The 13,757-nt window shown below is 37.9% G+C and overlaps 1 protein-coding gene and 1 long non-coding RNA gene across 3 annotated transcripts in view; both read left to right on the forward strand.

The window, feature by feature from the left end:
- The window catches only part of PLCB1 (phospholipase C beta 1), a 752,635-nt gene that overhangs the window by 349,540 nt on the left and 389,338 nt on the right, over positions 1 to 13,757 (forward strand). The window lies entirely within an intron of this gene.
- LOC124900459 (uncharacterized) overlaps positions 1 to 13,757 on the forward strand; it is a 112,238-nt gene that overhangs the window by 81,538 nt on the left and 16,943 nt on the right. The window contains exon 2 of the long non-coding RNA XR_007067518.1: positions 1 to 13,757. This exon is cut by the window's left edge and continues 59,464 nt beyond it; it is cut by the window's right edge and continues 16,943 nt beyond it. This is a non-coding gene — a long non-coding RNA (uncharacterized LOC124900459).

A 13,757-nucleotide genomic window follows, 5' to 3' on the forward strand; every position in this document is an offset into this window, starting at 1 on the left:
GAAATTCACAGCTGATGAAAGCAGTTGAAAGTCGATGTTTTCTGTGAGTCATGATTTTTTTTTTCCCCAAGCTGGAGTTGAAATCTACTTGAATATCTCTCTCCTATGACAAAGGCAAAATTAAGTATCATGATAACTTTCAGGATTCGAATAAAATAATCACTTAATAGTGATGTGAATTTTCATGAACATTCGCAGCTTGAAGAATTATTTTAGTATGCCATGTATTTATAGTTTAATAAAACATATGTTTCTCTATAGTTCAATTTATTTTGTGCTTGAAGGAATTTTTTTTTTTTTTTTTTTTTTTTTTTTTTGAGAGGGAGTCTCGCTCTGTCGCCAGGCTGGAGTGAAGTGGCGTGATCTCGGCTCACTGCAACCTCTGCCTCTCGGGTTCAAGCCATTCTCCTACCTCAGCCTCCCAAGTAACTGAGATTACAGGCACATACCAGCACGTCCAACTAATTTTTGTATTTTTAGTAGAGACGGGGTTTCACCACGTTGGGCAGGATGGTCTAGATCTCTTGATCTTGTGATCCACTCACCTCGGCCTCCCAAAGTGGTGGGATTATAGGTGTGAGCCACCGTGCCCAGCCAGAAATTATTTTTAAAACTGTGGTTTTGTATTCCCAGGATAAAATGTGTATCTTTTGTACAGCTTCACAAATTAGTATGTCCATTTACCTATAGCAGTGCATAAAAGGATATTTCTTTAAAGATCTATTTGTATAACATTCTATAGTCCCCTCTTTATTGAAAGTACTAATAGCAATATTTCTAAAATTATTTAATTTTCCAGTGAATGCCAAAGAGTCCCAATTATGGGAAAATGTGTTCCATTTTGGAAAATGCTACATGCAGTTCTCATTTTCACTCAGAAAAATAAAAGGCAATTTAATTACAAAGGACGCAATTTTATAGATTGGAAAAATATAGAAATCCAGACTGCTTGCCAAGTGGAGTGAGACTGTGTGTAATAAAGTAGATTTTGAAAACTTATGCTCAAAACACAATCAAAAAGTCACAGAATGTGAGGGTATTATGGATGGCAAAGAGATATTTGGCAAATGTAAGCAGGGCAGGCAGTCCTTCATTTTTTTTTTTTAACCTCTTTTTCTAAATGCCCTCTGCTGAAGTGGGATAGTTATTTAGAGGTAAGGAAATGATGGTGGGAAAAAATGTGGGAGACATTTTTCTCTCCAAGTGCCTGAAATCTTGACATTGTTCTCTCGATCGATGGAAATAATCAAAAAGGAGAAGGCCATAGCCCTGGTTAATTAACCAGCTCACTATTTAAGAGCACAATTCTCCAAAACAGCCATTTATTTCTATCTAATAAACATTAATCTCAAATAAATAAAAACATATTCTCTCTCTAATTCTATTGTAAGCACCTTAAGACAAAACCTGAGTCTTCTGTTTTGTCCTAACAATGGTGCAATGTGCCCTCTAGAGAAGACCCTTCCTAAGTGTGATTGACTGGGATGGGCTTAGCTGTTCTACCTTTTTCTAAAGGTGGCACTCCCACATACCTTATAAATGCAGGTCTAGTTTCATCATTCCATTAATCACATGCTGACATATCAGCTTCAATTATTTAAATCAAATATTTACAGTTAACATTAGTTATATGAAGTCGGTCCTCAGAAATCACTGTATGGAACACACTTTTATAGTTGACATTGTTTAACAATGTCCTTCTAAATGTTGGCCAAGTAATTTGCCTGAAGAGCCCTTCTCTGCCTGAAGCCATAAGTACTTGAACAGACAGTTTTTTGGGGAGATCTTCCTAGTTAAAAATATTGAGCTAATATCTAAACTTATAGATAACTTCGGGACATTTGATTTGAGTTAAGGTTAGAACAATGCTGCGTAATTCTGGCCACATATATAATTAATTTAAATTCTTCTAGATTAAAAAAAATGTTGCAGAATGCTACAGAGCTGCAAATGAAGACTAGTATCCTGTTAAAACCATTTGATCTTTAAACTGGCTTGCTTCATTTCATAATGGATCGAAGACAATGGACACAAAGTATATAGGCAGTAAAATAATGATAAAATAAATGTTGGTACTCTAAAATAGAAATAAATTAGAAAATTAAGAACAAGGAAAACAAAACACAAATGCACACACATAGCAGCTAAGCTGGCTCATACCTCAGGGCCTTTGGACCTGTTGTTCCCTATTCTTGGACCCGTTGCTTCCTTAGATCTTTGGTTTTGTTTTACTTTTTGAGAAGGAATTTTGCTCTTGTTGCCCAGGCTAGACCATAATGGCACGATCTTGGCTCACCACAACCTCAGCCTCACGGGTTCAAACAATTCTTCTGCCTCAGCCTCCCGAGTAGCTGGGATCATAGGCATGCGCCACCATGCCCAGCTAATTTTGTATTTTTAGTAGAGACAGGGTTTCTCCATGTTGGTCAGGCTGGTCTCGAACTCCCAACCTCAAGTGATCTGCCCACCTTGGCCTCCCAAAGTGCTGGGATTATAGGCATGAGCCACTACACCCGGCCACCTTCTCAGATCTTTTGCTAGCTGCTGCTTCTTCTTCTTCTTTTTTTTTTTTTTTAAATGGAGTCTCCCTCTGTCGTCCAGGCTGGAATGCAGTGGTGTGATCTTGGCTTACAGCAACCTCCACCTCCTGGGTTCAAGTGTTCTCCTGCCTCAGCCTCCCAAGTAGCTGGGACTACAGGCGCCCCCTCACCATGCCCAGATAATTTTTTCATTTTTAGTAGAGACAGGGTTTCACCGTGTTGGTCAGGCTGTTCTCGAACTCCTGACCTCAAGTGATCCTCCCGAAGTGCTGGGATTACAGGCATGAGCCACCGGCCTGCTAGCTTCTTCTTTCTTGTCATGTGTCTCTTTTGAGATATCACTCTTCCAGAGATGCTCTCCTTGACCACCTTGTCTGAACTATCCTTATAGTCCCCTTGTGTCATCTCCTTTTGCTTTCTTTTCTTCAGATCATTTATCAAAATCAAGTTGTTTCTTGTTCACTTCCATGTGTAAGTATTGTTGTCTGTCTACCCCAATTCAAATAGAAACTCCAGGAGAGTTTGCTCACTGCTATATCCCCCAGTTGTGCATGTGGGTACCAGGTGACACTTTCTAAGTAGTTTAAAGTGAGTACATGTTCTTAGGAACTTGCTATGTGGCCTGAAGCTTTCTAGAACTCAAAATGAAGAGAGAGAAATTAGAAAGGCAGATGCTTACCACTGCTCCCCAGGGAATAATAATTTGAAAACCAGCACTTAATTATAATAGACTTGTATTGCCAGGAACCCCATCCAGTGGGTACTGAGCTGGTACAGTGAGAAAACTGTCAAACAGAACTTTGTACAGGAGATACTCTTATTGTGGTCCAAATCTGGAGGGTTCTATTAGATGAAGTTCATCCAAACATAGAACTTAGATTAAGGGAGTAGATGTATACTCCACAGCCAATCCTTCACAAAACTCATTTGTCTCCATTGGGTTTTTTATAAGCTCTGGAAAACAAACAAACAAAAGAGATATTTAATAAGTTATCTATTTTTTTCCAGAGTTTCCCTTGTTCTCGTGCTGATGATTAACTTTAACTCTTCAAATCAATTGTAAGCTGCCTAAAGGCAGAAAAGATAATGTATTTAAATATGTCTTCTTATTCTTAGGACAGAAGAAGGTCCCTATACATGGCAGATGTTCATTAAGGATCAGGGTTTAGTGATGTTAATGCTATTATATAGGTTCATTAGTCATATAAAAGTTCATTATGTGCCAGGCACTTTCAAGGCAAGTTCTGAGAAACAACATTAATGACTGGGCACAGAATCTCAGACTAGAGGACCTCATCTGGTGAACTTGGGCATGAATGAGCACAGCAAATTAGTGGCAGAGCCTAGGGCTTATTCTGCTAATAGGAGCAATTCTAATGTTGGCATGCACTCACACAGGGAAATGTGTGATATATGTTTCCATCACATAGGGAAAGCATTAAAAATCTACATGCTTGGACTTTACTCCTAAATCAGAGATTTGGGGTCTACAGAGGTATGGAAACCCTCCCTCAATCTTGGAGGGTGTATTAGTCTGTTCTCACGCTGCTATAAACAACTGCCTGAGACTAGGTAATTTATAAAGGAAAGCAGTTTAATTGACTCACAGTTCCACAGGGCTGGAGAGGCCTCAGGAAACTTACAATCGTGGTGGAAGGGGAAGTAAACACATCCTTCTTCACATGATAACAGGAAGGAGAAGAATGAGTGGGGGGAAAAGCCCCTTATAAAACCATCAGACCTCAATGAACTTACTATCATGAGAACAGCAGCATGGTGGTAACCGCCCCCATGATCCAATTACCTCCACGGGGTCCCTCCCATGACACATGGGGATTATGGGAACTACAATCTAGATGAGATTTGGGTGGGGACATAGCCAAACCATATCAGAGGGATACACTGAGATACAAGGGGATAAAGCAGATAAAAAGGCAAACTCTAGTCAATTGAATTTCTCATATATCTTTCATTCTAACCCGTTCAGATGTACTAATTTGTCACATGCCATGGTTACTTTTCCCTTTTTAGACTTTCAAGTTGGAAAAAGCTTTTTTCAGATTCAGAAAGATAAAATATCAGCCATGTATTAAATGCATTAAATGTTTTTCTCTCAGCTGCTTTTATTCCAAAATATTTTTTTTTTTTTTTTTTTTTTTTTTAGACGGAGTCTCGCTCTGTCGCCCAGGCCGGACTGCGGACTGCAGTGGCGCAATCTCGGCTCACTGCAAGCTCCGCTTCCCGGGTTCACGCCATTCTCCTGCCTCAGCCTCCCGAGTAGCTGGGACTACAGGCGCCCGCCACCGCGCCCGGCTAATTTTTTGTATTTTTAGTAGAGACGGGGTTTCACCTTGTTAGCCAGGATGGTCTCGATCTCCTGACCTCATGATCCACCCGCCTCGGCCTCCCAAAGTGCTGGGATTACAGGCGTGAGCCACCGCGCCCGGCCTCCAAAATATTTTCTTAAGGGTCACTGACAATCTTGCAAGGATGTAAATGACAAGCTGTATTTGTTTGTTGACATTATCTATCAAAGAGGCTTCTAAACACTTTTGTGTTTCTGATGTGAATAAAGGAAATACAACATTGAATAATAATCCAGGCAGGTTGCAGGTGGCATAAGGCTTCAGAACTCCACCATAGAAATGAACGTGATTGGAAATGCAGCAATCAACATTTTGACAGAAAAGTGAATGTTTCAACTGCTTTATGTTCACAAATTGTTTCTATTTTCTTTTTGTATTACAAAATGTAAGCAGTGTGAGTTTGTGTGTATATGTGTGTGTCTATGTGTGTAAATTCAAAGGTTTATCCTGTAATAAGATAGAATCAGAGATAGACTCCTTGCTATTCTCAGGTTATTTTTTCCTTGTTCACATTTTTTTACACTTGAGTAAAATACTTCTGCAAGACATATTGGAATAGTTTTGTGACTAAATCCTAGAATTTGCAAAATAGTGAATCACAATATAATGTTTCCTTTGGATACTATTTTGGCCATACTTGGTTGGCTTTCTGGAAGTATGAAGTGGAGGTTTCCCAGTGACACCTGTAGCAGTGCTTCTCAGGGACATAGAAAGACACCAAATTCTCTTATACTGGGATTCATCCAGGTGACCAGCATTTGCTTTGCAACAATCATCTGTGGTGATTGCTCAAGTGTAGAAGGGTTTTCAAGAACTCCATCATGGAGTTTTGTAGTGGCAGATTAGCTGTCCTCTACTTCTCCTGGAGTGGCTGGGATTCTTCAACACCAAAAGAGGCATTGAGTCTTTCTTAATTGGCTTCAGTCAGAGAGGGTGGGGATATGTGAAACTTCTCAGTCTGATCTGTTCTTCAGCTCCTCAGAAAAGTTCTACAGCTACTCCAGATCTGTTTCGATAAAGGGGCGGTGGTGCAATGAAATTATTCATAACAGCCCACTTTAGAGGTCTGCCTGAAAAAGGTGGAGTATTTTTAATAGTAGATGTGTTGAGTGTCTTATCCATATCCTTTTTACCGAGGCTGGTGCACCCAGCCCTTGAGATGCCGAGTACATTATGTTGCATTCCTCCCAGGGGTGGCACACAGGCAATGACTGACTCGTATGAGGGTGTAAACGTGCAGCTCCCTTGCCTCTAGGTGGGATGTGGGATCTATGCCAGCACTGTCCAGGATAAAGTCATTAAATCTAGAAAGTTTACATGGATTCAATGAATTCCTCTATTCGAAGTCTTACTATGTTTAATAGCAAAACAAAATAGTTACCTAATGCAGTTCAATACATTTTGATATGTTGTTATGATGAAGAAACATGAAAATTCTAAAAATGCCCATTTGTTGATTACAGAGCAATTAAGTTTTAAATGATTCAAGTGAGTCTAGGAATGTAAATCTTAACCATTGCAGAAGTGAATTAAACATGTTTAGAGAAATCACAATTAGTCAAAAAAGGTAAGGTAGATTATTCTACCTTACCACAGGGCTCAACAGGGAACTCCACAGGGATCAAGCTCATCTAGATGCCAAATCTTTGCCAGCTCCTTCCTCTGCCCCATCCTACATCTCTCACTCCCTTACAGGTTTCCCCTAAATGCATTCCCTTAATAAATCATGGGACAATTATTTTCATCTCAGCCTCTGCTTCTGGGAAACCCAGCTAACAATATCGAATATGGAAACATCAAACCCCTGAATATAACCAGGGCTGCCTCTTACTTAAAGACTCATGCGTGAAATGACCTGAAGTGCTTAGAATAATCTACCTTACCTTTTTTGACTAATTGAGATTTCTCTAAACATGTTTAATTCACTTCTGCAATGGTTAAGATTTACATTCCTAGACTCATTCGAATCATTTAAAACTTAATTGCTCTGTAATCAACAAATGGGCATTTTTAGAATTTTCATGTTTCTTCATCATAACATCATATCAAAGTGTATTGAACTGCATTAGGTAACTATTTTGTTTTGCTATTAAACATAGTAAGACTTCAAATAGAGGAATTCATTGAATCCACTTAAATTTTCTAGATTTAATGACTTTATCCTGGACAGTGCTGGCATAGAGATAAACATTTAATTGATAGCTTATTTTATGAAAAATATAACATGGCAAAGGTTTACAGTTCTGTTTAATCTCAGCAGTGGCATGTTAAGAAGACAAACGGAGATTAGGAAACATTTTTTCTAAATAAAATACCTCATTTTATGTGGTACTGATAAGCAGTATTTACAACATGAAATAAATTATTCCTCGTATACTTATTGAATACCTTAAAAGTATGTGCTAGGAGCTGGGAACCCAGAGTAAAATATAGGTCTTGTTCCTAAGAGGATACGTCTATTATGGGGAGATGAAAGGGGGGTTAGGGGCAAGCACAGACTTGTAAATAATCTATGAGTAAACGTCTATACACCAGATTTGCCTAGAGGATGGTGTATTTGCGTGGCAGGACATTGGGTACAGCTTTAGCAGTGAAAAGAGCAAAGTGCAAAGAGAACCTAGAAGAATGCACCACTGGGAGCTGACTATTATTATTTTCATTAAAGGTGAGTATTGCATAACTAAAATATTTCAGCTCAATGACCTAGTTAAATAAATCGTTGTAATAAATAAAAATGTCTTCCTGTCTTTATGTAACTGCTCATTTTGTGAAAAGCATAACTTGGCTGCACACCTTTTTTCCGCCTTCTTCTGATAAATTCTTGGAGTCCAAAAGGTATCTTTCATTTAGTAGATTTTTCAAAATGTTTATATTCATAGCAAGTTCTGGTTTGGGTCAAGCAGGTGGTAGAAATCATAACTGCCTCCAGAAATCAGGAGGGCCCACGCAGTACAGGACTTGGCAGGCCCTGGTGGCCTAAGGTCAGCCAGAGTGCAGATGCAATGCAGCAACTATAGTACCAGCATTATTCTAGAAAGTTCTTACTTCTTGGAAGTACTGACTTGTAAGTAAAAGAGCATTTTAACTTGATCATATTCACTCTGGAGTCTTCTACATCTGAATCTAAAGGGGAACTGTATTCTTCCTGCAAATTTGGGATTCTCTAAATAAAGTTCCAGGGCACCAGAGGTTCCACTGGGTTAGACCTTTGATTTATTTTAATGAAGAGCCCTTCTTCTTTGTTGATGTCTGACAGCACATTCACAGTGATCCAGTCATTTTTGGGGTAAGATAGAAGGAATCCAGGTAGAATACAATATAAAAATGTCTCAAACTAGGCAAGAGAAGAGTCTAGTCCTGTGGTAGGTCATATTTGTCAAAATATTTGCTACCCTCTTAGCTGTTCATCCTCACTGAGCCTCTCTCTTCAAAAGATTATCCTTCATATCCCAACACTGTGAGGCTTGAGCACGTGCTTTGCTTTGAACAATGAAATACAAGGGAAGCAATGTAATCCATTTCTGAGCCAAAAAAATTAAGAGCCATTGAGTGATTCTGCCAGGCAGTCTCCTGGGTCATCTCCAGAATCTGGAGTGCAGAGCCACAGTGACCCATAATGGACATTGTGTAAGCAAGAAATAAGTATTTGTTATTCATAAATTACCAGTGTTTTGGGCTTGTTACTGCAACATTGACCCATTGGTAGAAACAACTCAGCTTCTGGTTAATAGGGTATTATTTTAAAATCCGCTATGAACATTCATGTATAGTAAGTCTTTGTGGATGGACACAGGCTTTCTATTTCTCATAGATAAATTTTGTAAGCAAATGGCAAACTGTTTACAAAGTGGTTCTATGATTTCACTGTCCCACTAGCAGTGTATGAGACTTTCAGTTGCTCCACTTTCTTACTAACACTTTGTATGACAGCATCTTTTTAATTTTAGTCATTCTAATACATGGGTAGTGATATTGCAGTATGGTTTTAATTTGTATTTCCCTAATGACTAATGATGTGAAACACCTTTTCTAGTGCTTATTTGCCATCCCAGTTTCTTATTTGGTAAAGCGTCTGTTTATGCTGATTTTAGGAGAATAGTTTCTTTTCTTATTTTCAGATTTTGAGAGTTGTTGGCTCATATATATAGGCATATATATATATATATGTACACATATCTATATGTACACATATATATGTGTACATATATATTAGCATATATGTGTGTGTGTTTTTCTTAATACAAATCCTTTCTTTAGATATATGATTTTTCAAATATTTTCTCCAAGTCTGTGGCATGTCTTTTCATTCTTATAACACCGTCTTTCAAACAGCATAAATATTTTACTTTTATAAAATCTAGTTATCAATTTGTTCTTTTATGGATTTTGGTGTTTGTGTCATATATATATATAAATATTTGCCTAACTCAAATATTTTATCCTCTTTTTTAATAATTTATTTTTTAGTTTAGGTTTTATGCTTAGGTCTTATAAAAAATATTGAGTCATTCCATCTATGAGCATGGTATATCTCTTCATTTACTTAGTTTTTAAATTTCTTTCAGTATTGCTTTTTAGTTTTCAGTGTATAAATCTTTCATATTTCTTGCACTTAGGAAGGCATTCAGCTCCTTGATCTATGAGTTTAAATTTATTCTCACCAAATTTGAACGTTTTTCAGACATTACGTTCTCAAATATTTTTCTGCCTCTCCCCCTCTTTCAAGGACTCTAATGACTTTTACATTAGACCACTTTTCTGGGAACAAGTTCCAGACTGGAAAAGTGGTCTAATGTAAACGTTGTCTAATGTTCCACTGGGAACAAGTACTGTGTGTAGTGCTGACCATTGTTACCCCGAAATCTTGAAATCTTGTGGGTAGTCTTTCCTCAACCTTGGGAAGTCAGTACTCAAGTGAATACTCACTGGGATCCTGTACAGATCTTCAGAGTTATTGCTCTCTGAAGCTGTTTTCCAATATTCTTTTCTGTGAACTCAAATTGCCTTAATCTTCCTGGATTCTCAGCAATATCTCCTCAACTCAGAATCCCTGGGTTCTCCTTTCCTGTACCAAGGATTGCCAATTCTCACAAGACAATAAGTTGGGTTACGATAGGACTCATCTCATTTGTTTACCTGCACCCCAAGGATCACTGTCCTTTGTTACCTGACATTCTGTGTCTTAAAAACGGTTGTTTTGTATGTTTTGGCTGTTTTTTGTTTGTTCTTTTTTTTGTTTTTTTGTTTTGGTTGTTGTTTCAGGTTGTTGAGGATAATTCTTATCCCTGTTAATCCATTTTGACAGTAAGTAGAAATAACAAAATTCACTTATAAATTAGTATATATATTCTTGGTTCAAGGAGTAATGGGCTAAAGTAATTTTCTCCAAATTGTGTTATTTGTCTTGGCCACATCATTAACTAGCAAACCTACTCAGTTTTAATAAATGGTTGCTTTGCCAACCATTTTTTTTTTTTCAACCAGCCCCTCTCTGTTTTAAAAAGAAAATTAAGCTACCCACTTTCTGTTTACTTACATAGAATTCCACTATTTAGGCTTTTGAAAATAGCCCTTCTGACTTGTAAATAACTTATTTGACTCTGTGTGTGAGTCACTCACTTTTATGTAGCTTGCATTGTTAACTGCATCTTCCAAATTGAATTCTGGTAATGCTGATAAACTGTTCAAATAGGTCTTTTGTATGTTTGCATCAGAGAAAGTTTTATGGGTATGTTTGGTATAATTAAGTGCTTTTTCTCTGTGTGTGTGTGTTTGTGTGTGTGTGTTTTAAATAACATGGCATAATGCTAAATAATCCAAGCAGGAATAATTTGTTTTTATTAAGTCAGATTGCCTTCTGTACATATGTTGGGGAGTAATTTAGTAGGTTATAGTTTCAGTGTAATAAAAAATGGTGGGGTTGGGGCTGGTGGAAATGATGCCTTTCTTCTGTGCCTAAGTGATAATGTAAACATAAGTCAGGAACTAAGAGTATCTGTCTGGGAATATATAATAGGATCAAACCTAAGCACAAATATTCCCAGAGGTAGATTTTTCTTATGCTGATTTAGTTATGAACTGGTAAATTTGTTTTCATGACTCAATTTCTACAAAGCAAACTTTATTATATATATATATGTGTGTGTGTGTGTGTGTGTGTGTGCATTTTTAATGTATGTTCATTTTTTTCTGTTGATTTTTTAAATTATGTTCATTACATAAGTTCCTAACTGATAGCATTCTCATCGTAAACAGGTCAAACTGTTCAGATAAAATAAAATTCCCTTATATCACCTTCTTATCTCCAGCTGATTTCTTTCCCAGAAGGTAATCACTGAAATGAGCTTGGTGTGGGCACCTCTCAATGGGGACCCCAAGATCCCCTTCTGTAACATACCTGCCACTTTTGAGGTTTGAATACTCATGGGCTGCTCTCCCCTTTTCAAATGCCTATCCCTGCACCATGATTTTCTGTTTTAGTCAGTCCTATATGTCATCTATCTTTCACTGATTTCTCTCATTTCTGGTCATCAAGGGCACCCCTTTTTATTCTATCATTTGGCTGAAAAAGTGGCAAACATGAACACTGACTTAAAAAAAATACTCCAAAAATAATTTGAGTTTAGAGCAAAAGCAAATCTATCATTGGTTAAAATTTTTTGTGTAGGTTGTATAACAAATTTAATTTTCATGAATTTCTAAGGTTGTGATTTTACATCATTTGATTTTAGCTAATAGTTTAATTTTATGGTAGGTTTCATTAGAGGAGATAAAAGGCTTTGGTTTGCTTCGTGTCTCTGGAAAATTTATTAAATCTCCATAGTTTTCAGAACCTAGCAAATGGTAAGCTTGTTTCCATTCTAACTTTATGAGATGCTTTGTTTCTTGTAAAGTGAATTTTGAGAGTGCTGTGTGCTTTAGCATCACTGGAAGCTGAACCTCAGGTAGTAGCCCTTACCTTGGTGTATGAGAGTCTGCATGAGTGCTGTGTGCTATAGCATCACTGGAAGCTGAACCTCAGGTAGTAGCCCTTACCTTGGTGTACGAGAGTCTGCATGAGTGCTGTGTGCTATAGCATCACTGGAAGCTGAACCTCAGGTAGTAGCCCTTACCTTGGTGTACGAGAGTCTGCATGAGTGCTGTGTGCTATAGCATCACTGGAAGCCGAACCTCAGGTAGTAGCCCTTACCTTGGTGTATGAGAGTCTGCATGAGTGCTGTGTGCTATAGCATCACTGGAAGCCGAACCTCAGGTAGTAGTCCTTACCTTGGTGTATGAGAGTCTGCATGAGTGCTGTGTGCTATAGCATCACTGGAAGCTGAACCTCAGGTAGTAGCCCTTACCTTGGTGTATGAGAGTCTGCATGAGTGCTGTGTGCTTTAGCATCATTGGAAGGTGAACCTCAGGTAGCAGTCCTTACCTTGGTGTATGAGAGTCTGCATTTCCACCTTCGAAGATTCTGAAAAGGAATTAAAAAGTAGTGTCTTGAATATTGGATAAACTTAAGATTACAAGAAAACATTCTGGAACATGACTTTCCTCCCGCTTTTGAAGTTTTTCACTTCTTTTTCTCTAGATCTTTTTATAGATGTTCAGAGGCATTTTAGGTTGAATTATTATGTGTTTAAGGAATTCTAAGATAATAATTACCAGGAAATTAACTCAAATTACATAATCATGTATTCGAGATAAGATACGTTGTATTGTTGTGGTAGGCAAAAATGCCATGACCCAGCAGAATATTTTAAAATTAGCAATGTATTTTAAATACTTGAACGCTCTCTTTCATTTCAGAAGCTAGCCTGCACTTAAGTCAGAAAACAAAAGCTAACTGCCACAGTGAATGAAATACTTTAGGAAGAGAGGAGAGAAAAACAGGCTTTTCTCATTCTGTAATTCTGAGTGTTCTTTAAATGTGTCAGAATATTTGCTTTGTCCATTTTCTGTGTCAATTTCTACTTCTTTCTTCTTGCTCAGAAAGTTTCATAATGCTCCCTCTAACATAATTAAGTCATTTATCTTTCCTCCCTCTCTTGCTGTTTACTTCCTTGCTTCCTTCCTTCTCTACCACTTCTAGTTTACATAGTAAGGGACTTCTTTGGCTTTTGGGTAGTAATTTAAGCTCCAAATTTCAGTTTCATGTTATGTAAAACACAAATGATACTTACCGTATTTCACATGGTTGTTATGTTGAGGACTGAGCCGCATTATGTGAGAAGGCTAAACATCATGTCCTTAATACTGAATATATGTTCTTTTCCCCTTTTCCCCTTTTCTTTCTTCTTTGCTGTCCCACTCTGAGACTCCTTTCTTCCAACTCTGAGATGTAGTTTTAAATCTTTTATGAAAAAAAAAAACCTTATGGAGAAAGGGAGAAGAGGTGGATTCATGAGCAGGAGGAGAATGATAACTGAACTTTTGGCATCAGCATTTACTATGGCTAGTCACCATTTTAAGCCTGTCACTAAATGAAGTTATATTCATTTAGTCTCATTACAATTCTATGAAAGTGCTATCATTATGTCTATTTTATACTTAAGGAAGCAAAGTCTTAGATTAAGGCAAGATCACATAGCCAGTAAGTAATGGGGTCAAAATGCAGACCTTAACATTTTGGCTTCAGACTCTGTACTTTGAGTTCAGCCGGTGTTTGTGGACTTTGCCTTACCTTCCTTTCTTTTTTTTTTTTTTTTTTTTTTTTTTTGAGACGGAGTCTCGCTGTGTCGCCCAGGATGGGGTGCAGTGGTGCCATCTCGGCTCACTGAAAGCTCCACCTCCCGGGTTCACGCCATTCTCCTGCCTCAGCTTCCTGAGTAGCTGGGACTACAGGCGCCCGCCACCATGGCCGGCT

This window comes from Homo sapiens, chromosome 20 (assembly GCF_000001405.40).
Source record: "Homo sapiens chromosome 20, GRCh38.p14 Primary Assembly".
NCBI lineage: Eukaryota > Metazoa > Chordata > Mammalia > Primates > Hominidae > Homo > Homo sapiens.